Below are 14,079 nucleotides of genomic sequence, written 5' to 3'. Positions count from 1 at the left end.
TTTTTCTACAATGAACTTGTATTAATAAGAAAAAACCATAAAATTTACTGTTTTTAAAAAGCTGCTCTAAGTAATCAGACAGTCAAAAGAGCATGAACCAGCTCTCCAGGAGGCTCTTTGGTCTGGGGCCGAGGGGATGAGGATGGGTCCTGAAGACGTCTGAGTCCCTTGTTACAGGAGGGTGTTCATTGTGTCCTCCTCACAGCTGGGAGAACAGCTGAAGCAGCTGGTGCCTGCGAGCGGCCTCACAGTCATGGATCTGGAAGCTGAGGGCACGTGTTTGCGGTTCAGCCCTTTGATGACCGCAGCAGGTAACCAGGCTCGGTGGACATCCCTTGCTTTTGTTCTGGGGCTGCTGGGTAGATTAGCTTGCCCTTATGATACTCCATTCTCCTAGAGTTATTAGCAGCTCTTTTTGGAGGGGCATTTTCTTTTCTTTTGGGCTAAATTTAGGTAGATTAGCATTCCCATGTAACTTACCAGAATCAGAATGAGAATTCAGAAGTCACCTGAATTGGCCGGGCATGGTGGCTCACACCTGTAATCCCAGCACTTTGGGAGGCCAAGGCAGGCAGATCATCTGAGGTCAGGAGTTCGAGACCAGCCTGGCCAACATAGTGAAACCCCGCCCCTACTAAAAATACAAAAAATTAGCCGGGCATGGTGGTACACACCTGCAGTCCCAGCTACTTGGGAGGCTGAGGCAGGAGAATCACTTGAACCTGGGAGGCCGAGGTTGCAGTGAGCTGAGATTACACCACTGCACTCCAGCCTTGGGGACAGAGGAGACTCCATCTCAAAAAAAAAAAAAAAAAAAAAAAAGTCATCACCTGAATTCCTTTTTTGTTGTTGTTGAGACAGGGTCTTGCTCTGTCACCCAGGCTGGAGTGCAGTGGTGCGATCATGGCTCACTGCAGCCTTGACCTCCTGGGCTCAAGTGATCTTCCCACCTCAGCCCCCGAGGAGTTGGGACCACAGGCATGAGCCACCACACTGGATTAATTTTTGCATTTTTTGTAGAAATGGGGTTTTGCCACGTTGGCCAGGCTGGAATTCCTATATTTTGATGTCTTGTGACTCTCGGTTTTCCACTACAAGGGTTCTCACTCCCCACTGCACATTAGAGTCATCCGGGAGCTTTACACACAACCAGTGGCCGCCCAGAGGCGGGCGGATCAAGAGGTCAGGAGATCCAGACCATCCTGGCTAACACGGTGAAATCCCGTCTCTACTGAAAATACAAAAAATTAGCCGGGCGTGGTGGCGGGCACCTGTAGTCCCAGCTACTCAGGAGGCTGAGGCAGGAGAGTGGCCTGAACCCAGGAGGTGGAGCTTGAAGTGAGCCAAGATCGCCCCACTGCACTCCACCCTGGCTGACAGAGGGAGACTCTTTCTCAAAAAAAGAAAAGAAAAGAAAAGAAATGCTAAGCAAAGTGTTCCGGTGTGTTTTGCCTGTTTTGGTAGTGGAAGGGAAGAAAATCAGTCTTTTTCTTTCTTCTCCCCCTTAAAACTATTTAAGAAGGGAACTGGGCACGGTGGCTCATGCCTGTAATCCCAACACTTTGGGAGGTCAAGGCGGGAGGATCACTTAGGTCCAGGAATTCAAGACCAGCCTGGGCCACATAGTAAGACCTCATCTCTACCAAAAAATAAAACATTAGGGCTGGGTGCGGTGGCTTACACCTGTAATCCCAGCACTGTGGCAGGCTGAGGGAGCTGGATCACCTGAGGTCAGGAGTTTAAGACCAGTCTGGCCAACATGGCAAAACCCTGTCTCTACTAAATATACAAAAATTAGCCGGGCATGGTGGTACGCACCTGTAATCCCAGCTACTCCGGAGGCTGAGGCAGGAGAATTGCTTGAACCGGGTAGGTAGAGGTTGCAGTGAGCCAAAATGGTGCCACTGCACTCCAGCTTGGGGGACAGAGCGAGACTCTGTCTCAAAATAAATAAATATTATTTTTAAAAAAAGATCCCCTGGGCATGCAATAAGTAATACCATACTACTTAGGCAAATAAAGCACAATTCTATCATTTGGGAATCTTAAGATCGGTTCTACCACTTTGTGGATCTTCAGACTCAATCTCTATTTTAGAGATACTAACATTGATTGATCCTACTATGTGCCAGGCACTGTCTTTCACAACTTCACATATATGATCTCATTCAATCCTCATTTAATTTTGGCAGAGAAAAGTTGAGCTCCTTACCCAGGATCGTATAGCTAGGAAATAAAGACCAAAGCACATGCCTCACTCTTCTTGTTATTAGAAAAGATTTCCTTCTGTAAACCTCAGGGACTTTACAAGGGAAATATTGGATTACTGTAATATGACTCATCAGCCCAATTTATTTATTTATTTATTTTTATTACACTTTAAGTTCTAGGGTACATGTGCACAACGTGCAGGTTTGTTACATATGTATACATGTGCCACGTTGGTGTGCTGCACCCATTAACTCGTCATTTACATCAGGTATATCTCCTAATGCTATCCCTCCCCGCTTCCCCCACCCCATGACAGGCCCCAGTGTGTGATGTTCCCCGCCCTGTGTCCAAGTGTTCTCATTGTTCAATTCCCACCTATGAGTGAGAACATGCGGTGTTTGATTTTCTGTCCTGGCGATAGTTTGCTCAGAATGATGGTTTCCAGCTTCATCTATGTTCCTACAAAGGACATGAACTCATCCGTTTTTATGGCTGCATAGTATTCCATGGTGTATAATTGCCACGTTTTCTTAACCCAGTCTATCATTGATGGACATTTGGGTTGGTTCCAAGTCTTTGCTATTGTGAATAGTGCCGCAATAAACATATGTGTGCATGTGTCTTTATAGCGGCATGATTTCTAATCCTTTGGGCATATACCCAGCAATAGGATGGCTGGGTCAAATGGTATTTCTAGTTCTAGATCCTTGAGGAATCGCCATACTGACTTCCACAATGGTTGAACTAGTTTACAGTCCCACCAACAGTGTAAAAGTGTTCCTATTTCTCCACATCCTCTCCAGCACCTGTTGTTTCCTGACTTTTTAATGATTGCCATTCTAACTGGCATGAGATGGTATCTCATTGTGGTTTTGATTTGCATTTCTCTGATGGCCAGTGATGATGAGCATTTTTTTCATGTGTCTGTTGGCTGCATAAATGTCTTCTTTTGAGAAGTGTCTGTTCATATCCTTTGCCCACTTTTTGATGGGGTGGTTTGATTTTTTTCTTGTAAATTTGTTTAAGTTATTTGTAGATTCTGGATATTAGCCCTTTGTCAGATGGGTAGATTATAAAAGTTTTCTCCCATTCTGTATGTTGCCTGTTCACTCTGATGGTAGTTTCTTTTGCTATGCAGAAGCTCTTTAGTTTAATCAGATCCCATTTGTCAGTTTGGGCTTTTGTTGCCATTGCTTTTGGTGTTTTAGACATGAAGTCCTTGCCCATGCCTATGTCCTGAGTGGTATTGCCTAGGTTTTCTTGTAGGGTTTTTATGGTTTTAGGTCTAACGTTTAAGTCTTTAATCCATCTTGAATTGATTTTTGTATAAGGTGTAAGGAAGGGATCCAGTTTCAGCTTTCTACATATGGCTAGCCAGTTTTCCCAGCACCATTTATTAAATAGGAAATCCTTTCCCCATTTCTTGTTTTTGTCAGGTTCGTCAAAGATCAGATAGTTGTAGATGTGTGGTATTATTTCTGAGGGCTCTGTTCTGTTCCATTGGTCTATATGTCTGTTTTGGTACCAGTACCATGCTGTTTTGGTTACTGTAGCCTTGTAGTATAGTTTGAAGTCAGGTAGCATGATGCCTCCAGCTTTGTTCTTTGGGCTTAGGATTGTCTTGGCAATGCGGGCTCTTTTTTGGTTGCATATGAACATTAAAGTAGTCTTTTGCAACTCTTATCAGCCCAGTTTAATATTACCTATTCATTATAATGTAATGCTGCTCGCACAACTGAGAAAACACTGTTGCTTTACCCCCTCCAGCTCTGTAGCAGCCACGCACAAATCATAGAACTATAAACATATGCTAATTACACAATGTATGTGGGCAATCAATATTAAGAAAAATTTTTACTGCCCAATATTTCTGTGGTTGAAAATGTAGAGTCTAATTCTGATCCGCAGTAACATCTAGGTTAATGTTGATTCAGAAGGAAAACGTTTGTTGTTGCCATGAGAAGAGGCACTGAAACGCTGAATCACCACCACAAATGTTATCACTATTAATATAAGGAGATACATAGCAAGATCGAGTTAGACCATCTCGGACCACCAGGTTTACAATTCCACCTGCAGATACATGCAAGAAGTATTGTCACAATACTTATGTCACGTTATTCCATTGAGGTCATCACCAACTAAGCTTATCATTAATGTGTGGTCAATTTGGTCAATGTCACCAGCGTAGCATACTGACAAAAACAAGGGTTGCAAACTCAGATGCCTATAAGGCAGAATGTAAGACGGTAGGAAGCAAAGTCTATAGGGAACTATATAATAGAGGCTGCAGATTAATGGCAGATTCTAAAGCACAGCAGTCCCCCACATTTTTGGCACCAGGGACCGGCTTTGCGGAAGACAGTTTTTCCACAGGCGGCAAGGGATGGGGCGCAGGATGGTAATGGTCTTGGGATGAAACTGTTCCACCACAAATCATCAGGAATTAGATTCTCATAAGGAATATGCAACCTGGATCCCTCGTGTGTGCAGTTCACAACAGGGTTCATGCTCCTGTAAGAATCTAATGATGCTGCTGATCTGACAGGAGGCAGAGCTCAGGCAGCAATGCAAGCAATGGGGAGCAGCCAGAAATACAGACGAAGCTTCAATTGTTACCCACCATTCACCTCCTGCTCTGTGGCCCAGTTCCTAACAGGCCACAGACCAGTACAGGTCCATGGCCCAGGGATTAGGGACCCCTGCTGTGGCACATTGCTTAATAGAGGACTGTAGCAGCCCTGACCTTTCCTTTTTTTTTTTTTTTTTTTTTGAGATGCCAGAAACCCAGAATTTTTTTTTTTTTTTTTAAGACAAGGTCTGGCTCTGTTGCCCAGGTTGGAGTGTAGGAGTGCGATCTCAGCTCACTGTAACCTCAACCTCCCAGGCTCAAGCAATCCTCTCACTTCAGCCTCCCAAGTTGCTGAGATTACAGGCACACTCCACTACACCCAGCTAATTTTTTTGTATTATTTGTAGACATGCGGTTTCGCCATGTTGCCCAGACTAGTCTGGAATTCCTGAGCTCAAGCTGTCTGCCCATCTCAGCCTCCCAAAGTGCTGGGATTGCAGGAGTGCACCACCACACCTGGCCTGAAACCCAGATTTTATTTATTTATTTATTCATTTTTTGAGATGGAGTCTTGCTCTATTGCCTAAGCTTGAGTGCAGTGGCGCGATCTTGGCTCACTGCAACCTCCACCTCCCTGGTTCAAGCAATTCTCCTGCCTCAGCCTCCCGAGTAGCTGGGATTAGAGGCACATGCCACCATGCCTGGTTAATTTTTGTATTTTTAGTAGAGACAGAGTTTCATCATGTTGGCCAGGCTGGTCTCGAACTCCTGACCTCAGGTGATCCACCCACCTTAGCCTCCCAAAGTGCTGGGATTACAGAAGTGCAACACCACACCCAGCCTGAAACCCAGATTTTTAATATGAAATCAAAGTCTTCAAACCTTGTAGGTGTCATAAAAAGCACGCTGAGGACCACTAGTTTGCAACTGCCAATCTAAAATATCATAGACATTGTATCACTTTAACCACGAAAAAAAAGTATGTGAGGCAGAAAATGGAAGCAACCATGCCTAATTTATTGTTGAATACTTCTTCCATATACCAAGAACTTCCTTTGCACTAGCATCTGAAACTATATTCAGAATGACATTGGTTTTCATAAAAGTGTTGATCCTCACACCTCTTTATAGTCTTGCACCTAGCACAGCAGAGTGAAACACTTTAAATAGCACTTGTTCCTTGAGTATATATGGAAGAAAGTGAAGTATTGGTAAGTGTTCAGCTGATATGAGCAGCATCTCAGGAGTCTGCAATTCTTGAATTACCAGGGAGTATTTTTACCATTTTCCCCCAGTGAAAGGCCTATTTTGAGAGACTTACCCTCCAAAATGAATGTATTAAGTCATATTACTTTTTTTTGTTTTGAGACAGGGCCTTGCTCTGTTGCCCAGGCTGGAGTGCAGTGGCATGATAGTTACAGGAAAGGGGTCCCAATCCAGACCCCAAGAGAGGGTTCTTGGATCTTGTGCAAGAAAGAATTCAGGGTGATCCCGCAGTGTGAAGTGAAAGCAAGTTTATTAAAAAAGTAAAGGAGGAGGGGCACGGTGGCTTACACCTGTAATCCCAGCACTTTGGGAGGCTGAGACAGGTGGATCAGGAGGTCAGGAGATCAAGACCATCCTGGTTAACACGGTGAAACCCCGTGTCTACTAAAAATACAAAAAGATTAGCCAGGTGTGGTGGCGGGCACCTGTAGTCCCAGCTACTCTGGAGGCTGAGGCAGGAGAATGGTGTGAACCCGGGAGGTGAAGCTTGCAGTAAGCCGAGATCACGCCACTGCATTCCAGCCTGGGTGACAGAGGGAGACTCCATCTCAAAAAAAAAAAAAGAAAAAGTAAAGGAATAAAAGAATGGTTACTCCACAGACAGAGCAGCCAGGAGGGCTGCTGGTTGCCCATTTTTATGGTTATTTCTTGATGATATGCTAAACAAGGGGTGGATTTTTCATGCCTCCTCTTTTTAGACCATATAGGGTAACTTGTTGATGTTGCCATGGCATTTGTAAACTGTCATGGTGCTGGTAGGAGTGTAGCAGTGAGGATGACGGGAGGTCACTCTTGTCACTATTTTGGTTTTGGTGGGTTTTGGCCAGCTCCTTCACTGCAACCTGTTTTATCAGCAAGGTCTTTATGACTGGTATTTTGTGCTGACCTTCTATGTCATCCTGTGACTTAGAATGCCTTAACCATCAGGGAATGCAGCCCAGTAGTTTCAGCCTCATTTTTCCCAGCTCCTATTTAAGATGGAGTTGCTCTGGTTCACATGCCTCTGACATGATCACTGCTCACTGCGGCCTCCACCTCCTGGGTTCAAGAGATCCTCCTGCCTCACCCTCCCAAGGTGCTGGGACTACAGGTGTGTGCCACCACGCTCAGCTAATTTTTGTATTTTTTGTAGAGATGGTGTTTTTCCATGTTGCCCAGGCTGATCTCAAACTCCTGGGCTCAAGCAATGCTTCTGTCTCAGCCTCCCAAAGTACTGGGATTACAGGCATGTCCCACCATGCCCAGACTAATATTTACTTTTAATCAGAGTAAGATATGGTTACTACTTGAGTTACTATGGCTCCAGCTGAAAGCCTATGCAGTCATATCATGGGTAAACATTTGCTTTATGCTAAAAATATGGTGGACCTGGCATTACAGCTATTACAAATCTCCTAAGGTGTCTCGGGTAGTATATTAGTTACTTTTCATACTGCTATGAAGAAATACTTGAGACTGGGTAATTTATAAAGAAAAAGAGGTTTAATGTACTCACAGTTCCACAAGGCTGGGGAGGCCTCAGAATCATGGTGGAAGGCAAAGAAGGAGCAAAGGTACGTCTTACATGGCAGCAGGCAAGAGAGCACGTGCAGGGAAACTGCCCTTTATTAAACCACCAGATTTAGTGAAATGTATTCACTATCATGAGAACAGTATGGGAAAAACCTGCCCCCATGATTCGATTACCTCCTACCGGGTCCCTCCCACGACACATGGGGATGATGGGAGCTACAATTCAAGATGAAATTTGGGTGGGGGCGCAGCCAAACCATATCAGGTAGCAACTACCTAGGGTTGGTTTTGCAGGTGGTAAAGCCATTTACCAAGATAGTTGTAGGTAAAGAAGGGCAGATTTATTAGAGAAATTATGAAAATATGTTGCAATGGGCAGCTCAGCAGAGAAGGGGCTACCTGCAAAGAGGCAAGGGCTGGAGGAAAGTTTTATAGGGTCCTGCTGAAGGGTGCTACGTGTGGAATGAGGTCATTGTGCCCGCAGGTTGTTTGTGATTAGCTGTCTCTAACAATTGTTCATACAATAATTGTTCATTATTCTCCTCAACTTGGGGCTCTCCCCAACCTGGGGACCCTTCCTTATTGTTGCTTACTTAGCAGGACTCCACATAAGGGTGTGGAAACTTCATTCACTCATATCTTCAACACAAATTGTAGGTAGCCTGTTTTTTAAAAAATTTATTCAACAAATATTTAGTCCAAGCCACTATTACTTATTACCTTCTCAACTTCTGTATGGACCTTTAACTATCTCTGACACTATTCACTATTCTTCCACATTCTCTATTATTTATACCTATGGTAAAATTTGCCAGTTTGACCATGCAACTAATACTGACGGGGAATATATAGAGTCTAGAAGAAAATAGACCGGTCCTTAAAGGCTGCCCTGCCAACAAAACCGTAATGCAGCAACAAACATCACAACTATGCCAAATAATCAATCCTACAATGTCCAAAATTTTACTTTAAAACTGGAATTTCCAGACTTCCTTTCCGCATTAACCAGTTTAACTAGACAGTAATGAAATATCCCTCCTACTTTATGCTGTGATAGTTTATGTATTTATTTATTTATTTATTTATTTGAGACAGAGTTTCGCTCTTGTTGCCCAGGCTGGAGTGCAATGGCGCGATCTCAGCTCACCACAACCTCCACCTCCCAGGTTCAAGCGATTCTCCTGCCTCAGCCTCCCGAGTAGCTGGGATTACAGGCACGTACCACCACGCCCAGCTAATTTTGTATTTTTAGTAGAGATGGGGGTTTCTCCATGTTGGTCAGGCTGGTCTAGAACTCCTGACCTCAGGTGATACCCCCTGACTCAGCCTCCGAATGTGCTGGGATTACAGGCATGAGCCACCGTGCCTGGCCAGAAAATTTTAAACACACACAAACTCTCGAGTGGCCTAATTCCCTCTCACCAAACCAGTCACAATACAGACAAAAGAGAATAACTTATATTAGTTTTTGTACAAACAAAAAAGACTGATAAATTGTGAATGATGCATGATTTTTAATTACAAGTAAACTGGGCAAATGCTTCTGCATTATTTAAAGCTAAAAGGTGATCAGTGGAAACTTTCCTCTGTTAGGACTCTAATACTTTTTAATCGGCTCACTACAACGTATGCCTCCCAGGTTCAAGCGATTCTCCTGTCTCAGCCACCTGAGTAGCCGAGACCACAGGCAACGCACTACCGTGTCCGGCTAATTTTGTATTTTTAATAGAGACACGGTTTCACCGTGTTGGCCATGCTGGTCTTAAACTCCTGACCTCAACCAATCCTCCTGCCTTGGCCTCCCAAAGTTCTGGGATTACAAGCGTGAGCCACCACGCCCAGCCTTATTATAATTGTTACTATTTAAATCTCTTTTTCTCTCTCCTTCAAGAGAAACCTCATCTCATTCAGTGGCATCCATTTATTTACTCATCTTCTGCCTCTTGGGCTCGAGAGATCCTCCTGCATGAGTCTCCCAAGTAGCTGGGACTACAGGCTCACACCACCATGCTTGGCTAATTTTCGTAGGTTTTGGAGAGACAGGCTCTTGCCATGTTGCCTAGGCTGGTCTCAAACTCCTGGGCTCAGATGATCCACCTGCCTTCGCCTCCCAAAGCACTGGGATTATAGACATGAGCCACCACGCCCAGCCCCAAGTACTTTTACACAAAATGCAAACACTATTTTTCTATCATAAAAGTGATACCACAGCTTCTGTAAAGTTTTGCCAGGTAGTATTCATAATTACCTTGGGTAAACTTTTTGATGTTAAAATGTATCTTCTTATTACGAGTTTTTCCATTGTATTAACTGCTTTTACAACAACACAAATAACAAGTTATTTTACAAACCATTTAGAAATTTCTGTACTATGGTCCCAATAATGTAAAATATATTAATGCCTATTACATTCAGATAAATTATACACTTGGAAACCACATACTTATGACTTACAGAAACTTACATAAACAAATTGTAGAAATTATATGCTCAATTTTTAGGTATATAGTCTTAAGCTCAAATATACATTCTCAAGATAAATTAACAGTTCAGGGCTTCACAACTTGAAATCTGTGGAAGATGACATTGGAGACAACAGAACTCTGGTGGAATTCTTAGATGGAATTTGCTGAAACTTTTTTTTTTTTTATCTTTTTGAGACGGAGTGTCGCTCTGTTGCCCAGGCTGGAGTGCAGTGGCACAATCTCAGCTCACTGCAAGCTCCACTTCCTGGGTTCACGCCATTCTTCTGCCTCAGCCTCCCGAGTAGCTGGAACTACAGGCGCCCACCACCACGCCTGGCTAATTTTTTGTATTTTTAGTAGAGATGGGGTTTTACCATGTTAGCCAGGATGGTCTCGATCTCCTGACCTTGTGATCCGCCCGCCTTGGCCTCCCAAAGTGAAACTTTTCTTTAAAATAGAGATGGGATCTTGCTGTACTGCCCAGGCTGGTCTCAAACTCCTTGCCTTAAGCAATCCTCCCACCTCAGCCTCCCAAAGTGCTGGGATTACAAGCGTGAACCATTACACCCAAGTGAAACTTCTTGAGATAGTTACATAATTTTTAAATCTGCTGGTGTAGAAGTTAATAAAGTGTAGAACTGAATAAATATTAAATATTAGATCAAGTTTCTCATGTTCACCTTAAAGTATAAAGATTTATCTTAAAGCACTGATTTTCACAAAATAACATCAGTGTGAAATTGGAAAAGAAGCCAAATATTTTATTTCATGTATCTGGGAAATGAGGTGCTTTAGTCAACTGAATCTGCCCAAAACTAAAAAGCATTAATTAAAAAGTACTTAACTCAGAAATCATAAAAATAGGAGACATCAATAAAATACATTCTACACAGAATACGCCAATCATACACTACTCTTTTTTGATAATAAAAAACGTACTTACTGAGCCAGTTGTGGTGGCTCACGCCTATAATCCCAGCACCTTGGAAGGCCAATGAGAGTGGATCAGTTGAGGCCAGGATATGACACCAGCCTGGCCAACATGATGAAACGCCGTCTCTACTAAAAATACAAAAATGAGCCGGGCACGGTGGGACTCACCTGTAATCCCAGGTACTCCGAAGGATGAGGCAGGATAATTGTTTGAACTCAGGAGGTGGAGGTTGCAGTGAGCCGAAATCATGCCACTGCACTCCAGTCTGGGTGACAGAGTGAGTCTCTGTCTCAAAAAAAAAAAAAAAAAAAAAAAAGTCAGTTGCAGTGGCTCACACCTATGATCCCAGCACTTTGAGAGGCCGAGGCAGGCGGATTACAAGGTCAGTAGATCGAGACCATCCTGGCCAACATGGTGAAACCTCCTATCTACTGAAAATGCAAAAATTAAGCCGGGCGCGGTGGCTCACATCTGTAATCCCAGCACTTTGGGAGGCTGAGGCGGGCAGATCACGAGGTCAGGAGATTGAGACCATCCTGGCTAACACAGTGAAACCCCGTCTCTACTAAAAATACAAAAACTTAGCTGGGCGTGGTGGCAGGCGCCTATAGTCCCAGCTACTTGGGAGGCTGAGGCAGGAGAATGGCGTGAACCCAGGAGGCAGAGCTTGCAGAGAGCCAAGATCCCACCACTGCACTCCAGCTTAGGCGACAGAGCCAGACTGTGTCTCAAAAACAGGAAAGAAAACAAAAGAAAATTTGGACTATTGCCAATTACAAATAGTTTTAGAGAAGAAATCAAAACAGTAACTGTGGATGATGGAAACAATAGTTATGATAAAAGTCTGATGAAACTTCCCAGTTCACAAGGAAATTTAATTACTTATCTGCAGCATTTTAAGACAGTAATCAGAATCATAACTGACAGCATCACATCAGGACCATCAGACTTTTATAAATTTCATATAATCTTCAGAAATAATAACTTTTTTTTTTAGATAGATTCTACCTCTGTCACCCAGGTGGGAGTGCAGTGGCATGATCTCGACTCACTGCATCCTCCACCTCCTGTGTTCAAGCAATTCTCCTGTCTCAGCCTCCCGAGTAGCTGAGACTACAGGCGTGTGCCACCAGGCATGGCGAATTTTTGTATTTTTAGTGGAGACAGGGTTTCACCCTATTAGTCAGGCTGGTCTCGAACTCCCAACCTCAGGTGATCCACCTGCCTTTGTCTCCCAAAGTGCTGGGATTACAGGCATGAGTGACGGTGCCCAGCCATTCATAACATGTTTATACAAATATAACTTTAACAAATATTTAGCATAACTATCAAAATTACAAATCATAACATATTAAATTTGTATAAATGTATGTGATTTTTGGAACGTGTATATCAACAACATACCCATAAATATAACTGAGATGAGATCTAATGTCACCTCACTTGACAGTGCCCTCCCATGCAGTATCACCACATTTGACAATGCCCGCCCATAAAATCTACCAAATAAATCGAATCACTTAATACCGCTACAAGATGAGAGATACATTCTTTAGACTCCCCAAGGGACGCAGCTGAAAAATCCCAAAGTTAATTTTAAGCCAAAAAGACCTGATTTAGGATTTTGACACTGGAGAAACCCATCAAAGATGTCAAGTTTGAAAACACTTGATCAAAACAGAATCACAGGTCACTATTAAAAGGGTATTCATTTAACCAGAGACTTCCAAAGCAATACAGAAACTTACATGGATATAAAAACCTTAACCCTTTTAAAGGTCAGATTTGCTAAGTGATCAAAAGGGGTACTTGAATTGAGTCGACACAGGAAGAGTGTGTACAGGGTTATGAGTGTAGGCAAATGGTTACTTTGGTCATATCTCCATTTGCCACCTGATTACACATGAGAATGGCATCTTTACTCATCAGAAAGCCAGTATTATGGGAGGTGTAGGAGGCATTCTTGGACTTGAGACGAGAACATTGTTGTGTAGAAATTTCATTGACTGTGTTAAAATTATTCTCCATGGGCTGGAGAACACATAACTTGGTGTTTAGAATGAGACGGGCATGGATTGGATGCAAGGTCTCCACACTTACTAGCTGTGTGACATTGGACAGAGTGCTTCATCATTCTGAGACTCAGTTTTTAAAGGAAAAACAACTAACTACCTTGCAAGCTTGCTAGCAGGTTTAAGTGTAATAATGTGTGGGAATGACTGCACCGTGACTAACACGTAGTGACAGCTTAATTAATGTTAACCCTTATCATTATCATATAAGAAAGTGAGTTACATAAGAGAGGAATCCTGTCAGTTCGTTCTCTGCTGTGTCCCCAAGACCATGAATCATGGCTGGCACGTAGTAGGCATTTAATAATATTTGTTCAACAAGTATTTGGCAGTCTTGGAGGGCAGAAAAGGAGGTGGGGAAGATTTTTAAATAACATTTTTTAAAAAGTCACATTGTCCTACAATACCGATTTTTCTTGCATATTTAGGAAATTGAGGGTTTTTTCCTAAAACATGCGGACATATGGGAAATAGGATGCAACATTTGCACTAATGTTTCAGACACAGTTAGAGGTTTCCAAGAGATTTTGCGCTGGGGAGGCTGCTTGCTACAAGCTCCCAAAGCTCTGGGAGGACATAGTATTCATTCCTCCCTCAGCAGAAGCGGTGAGGCAAGAAGCTCTGGGGAGCACCCAGCCTTGGACTTTTAGCATAGTGTGTCAGGTCTTCATAGTTTGGGCCCGGGGCACAGAGAAGTCACAGCTCTCCAGCATCCTGTGACCTTTACCCTCTTTGCCAAGGGAAAATGTGGCCCACCAAAGCAAGAAACTTGAGGGCATGGGTCACCCCAGCCCTGGCATCTGCCCAGAGCCCGAGAAGGAAGGAACAATGATCCTCCAGCTACCTCACGGGGCTGGCACAGGTGACCACTGCCCTGGCATCACCCAGCTGTGTCCGGCAGCCTGAACCCCATCTGTGGGGATGTGAGGAGGAAAATACAAAAGTCCTTAGGTGAACACTGAGAAGGCAGATGCAGCAGAAACCTCCAGGCCGGAACTACCCAGTCTTGGACCTATGGTGGAGATAGAGCATAGCTGGCGATCATGT

General features: G+C 43.5%; 2 pseudogenes across 1 annotated transcript in view; both read left to right on the top strand.

Moving 5' to 3' along the window:
- The window catches only part of PDXDC2P (pyridoxal dependent decarboxylase domain containing 2, pseudogene), a 54,947-nt pseudogene extending 54,887 nt beyond the window's left edge, over positions 1–60 (top strand).
- The window catches only part of PDXDC2P-NPIPB14P (PDXDC2P-NPIPB14P readthrough, transcribed pseudogene), an 89,652-nt pseudogene that overhangs the window by 54,887 nt on the left and 20,686 nt on the right, over positions 1–14,079 (top strand). Inside the window, exon 16 of the transcript NR_003610.1 lies at positions 206–311. The product of NR_003610.1 is annotated as a PDXDC2P-NPIPB14P readthrough, transcribed pseudogene (transcript). The remainder of the gene's footprint in view (positions 1–205; positions 312–14,079) is intronic.

Source organism: Homo sapiens, chromosome 16, assembly GCF_000001405.40.
Source record: "Homo sapiens chromosome 16, GRCh38.p14 Primary Assembly".
Classification (NCBI taxonomy): Eukaryota; Metazoa; Chordata; class Mammalia; order Primates; family Hominidae; genus Homo; species Homo sapiens.
The sequence above is the reverse complement of the archived record's forward strand: the minus strand, read 5'-3'. Positions and strand labels throughout refer to the sequence as shown.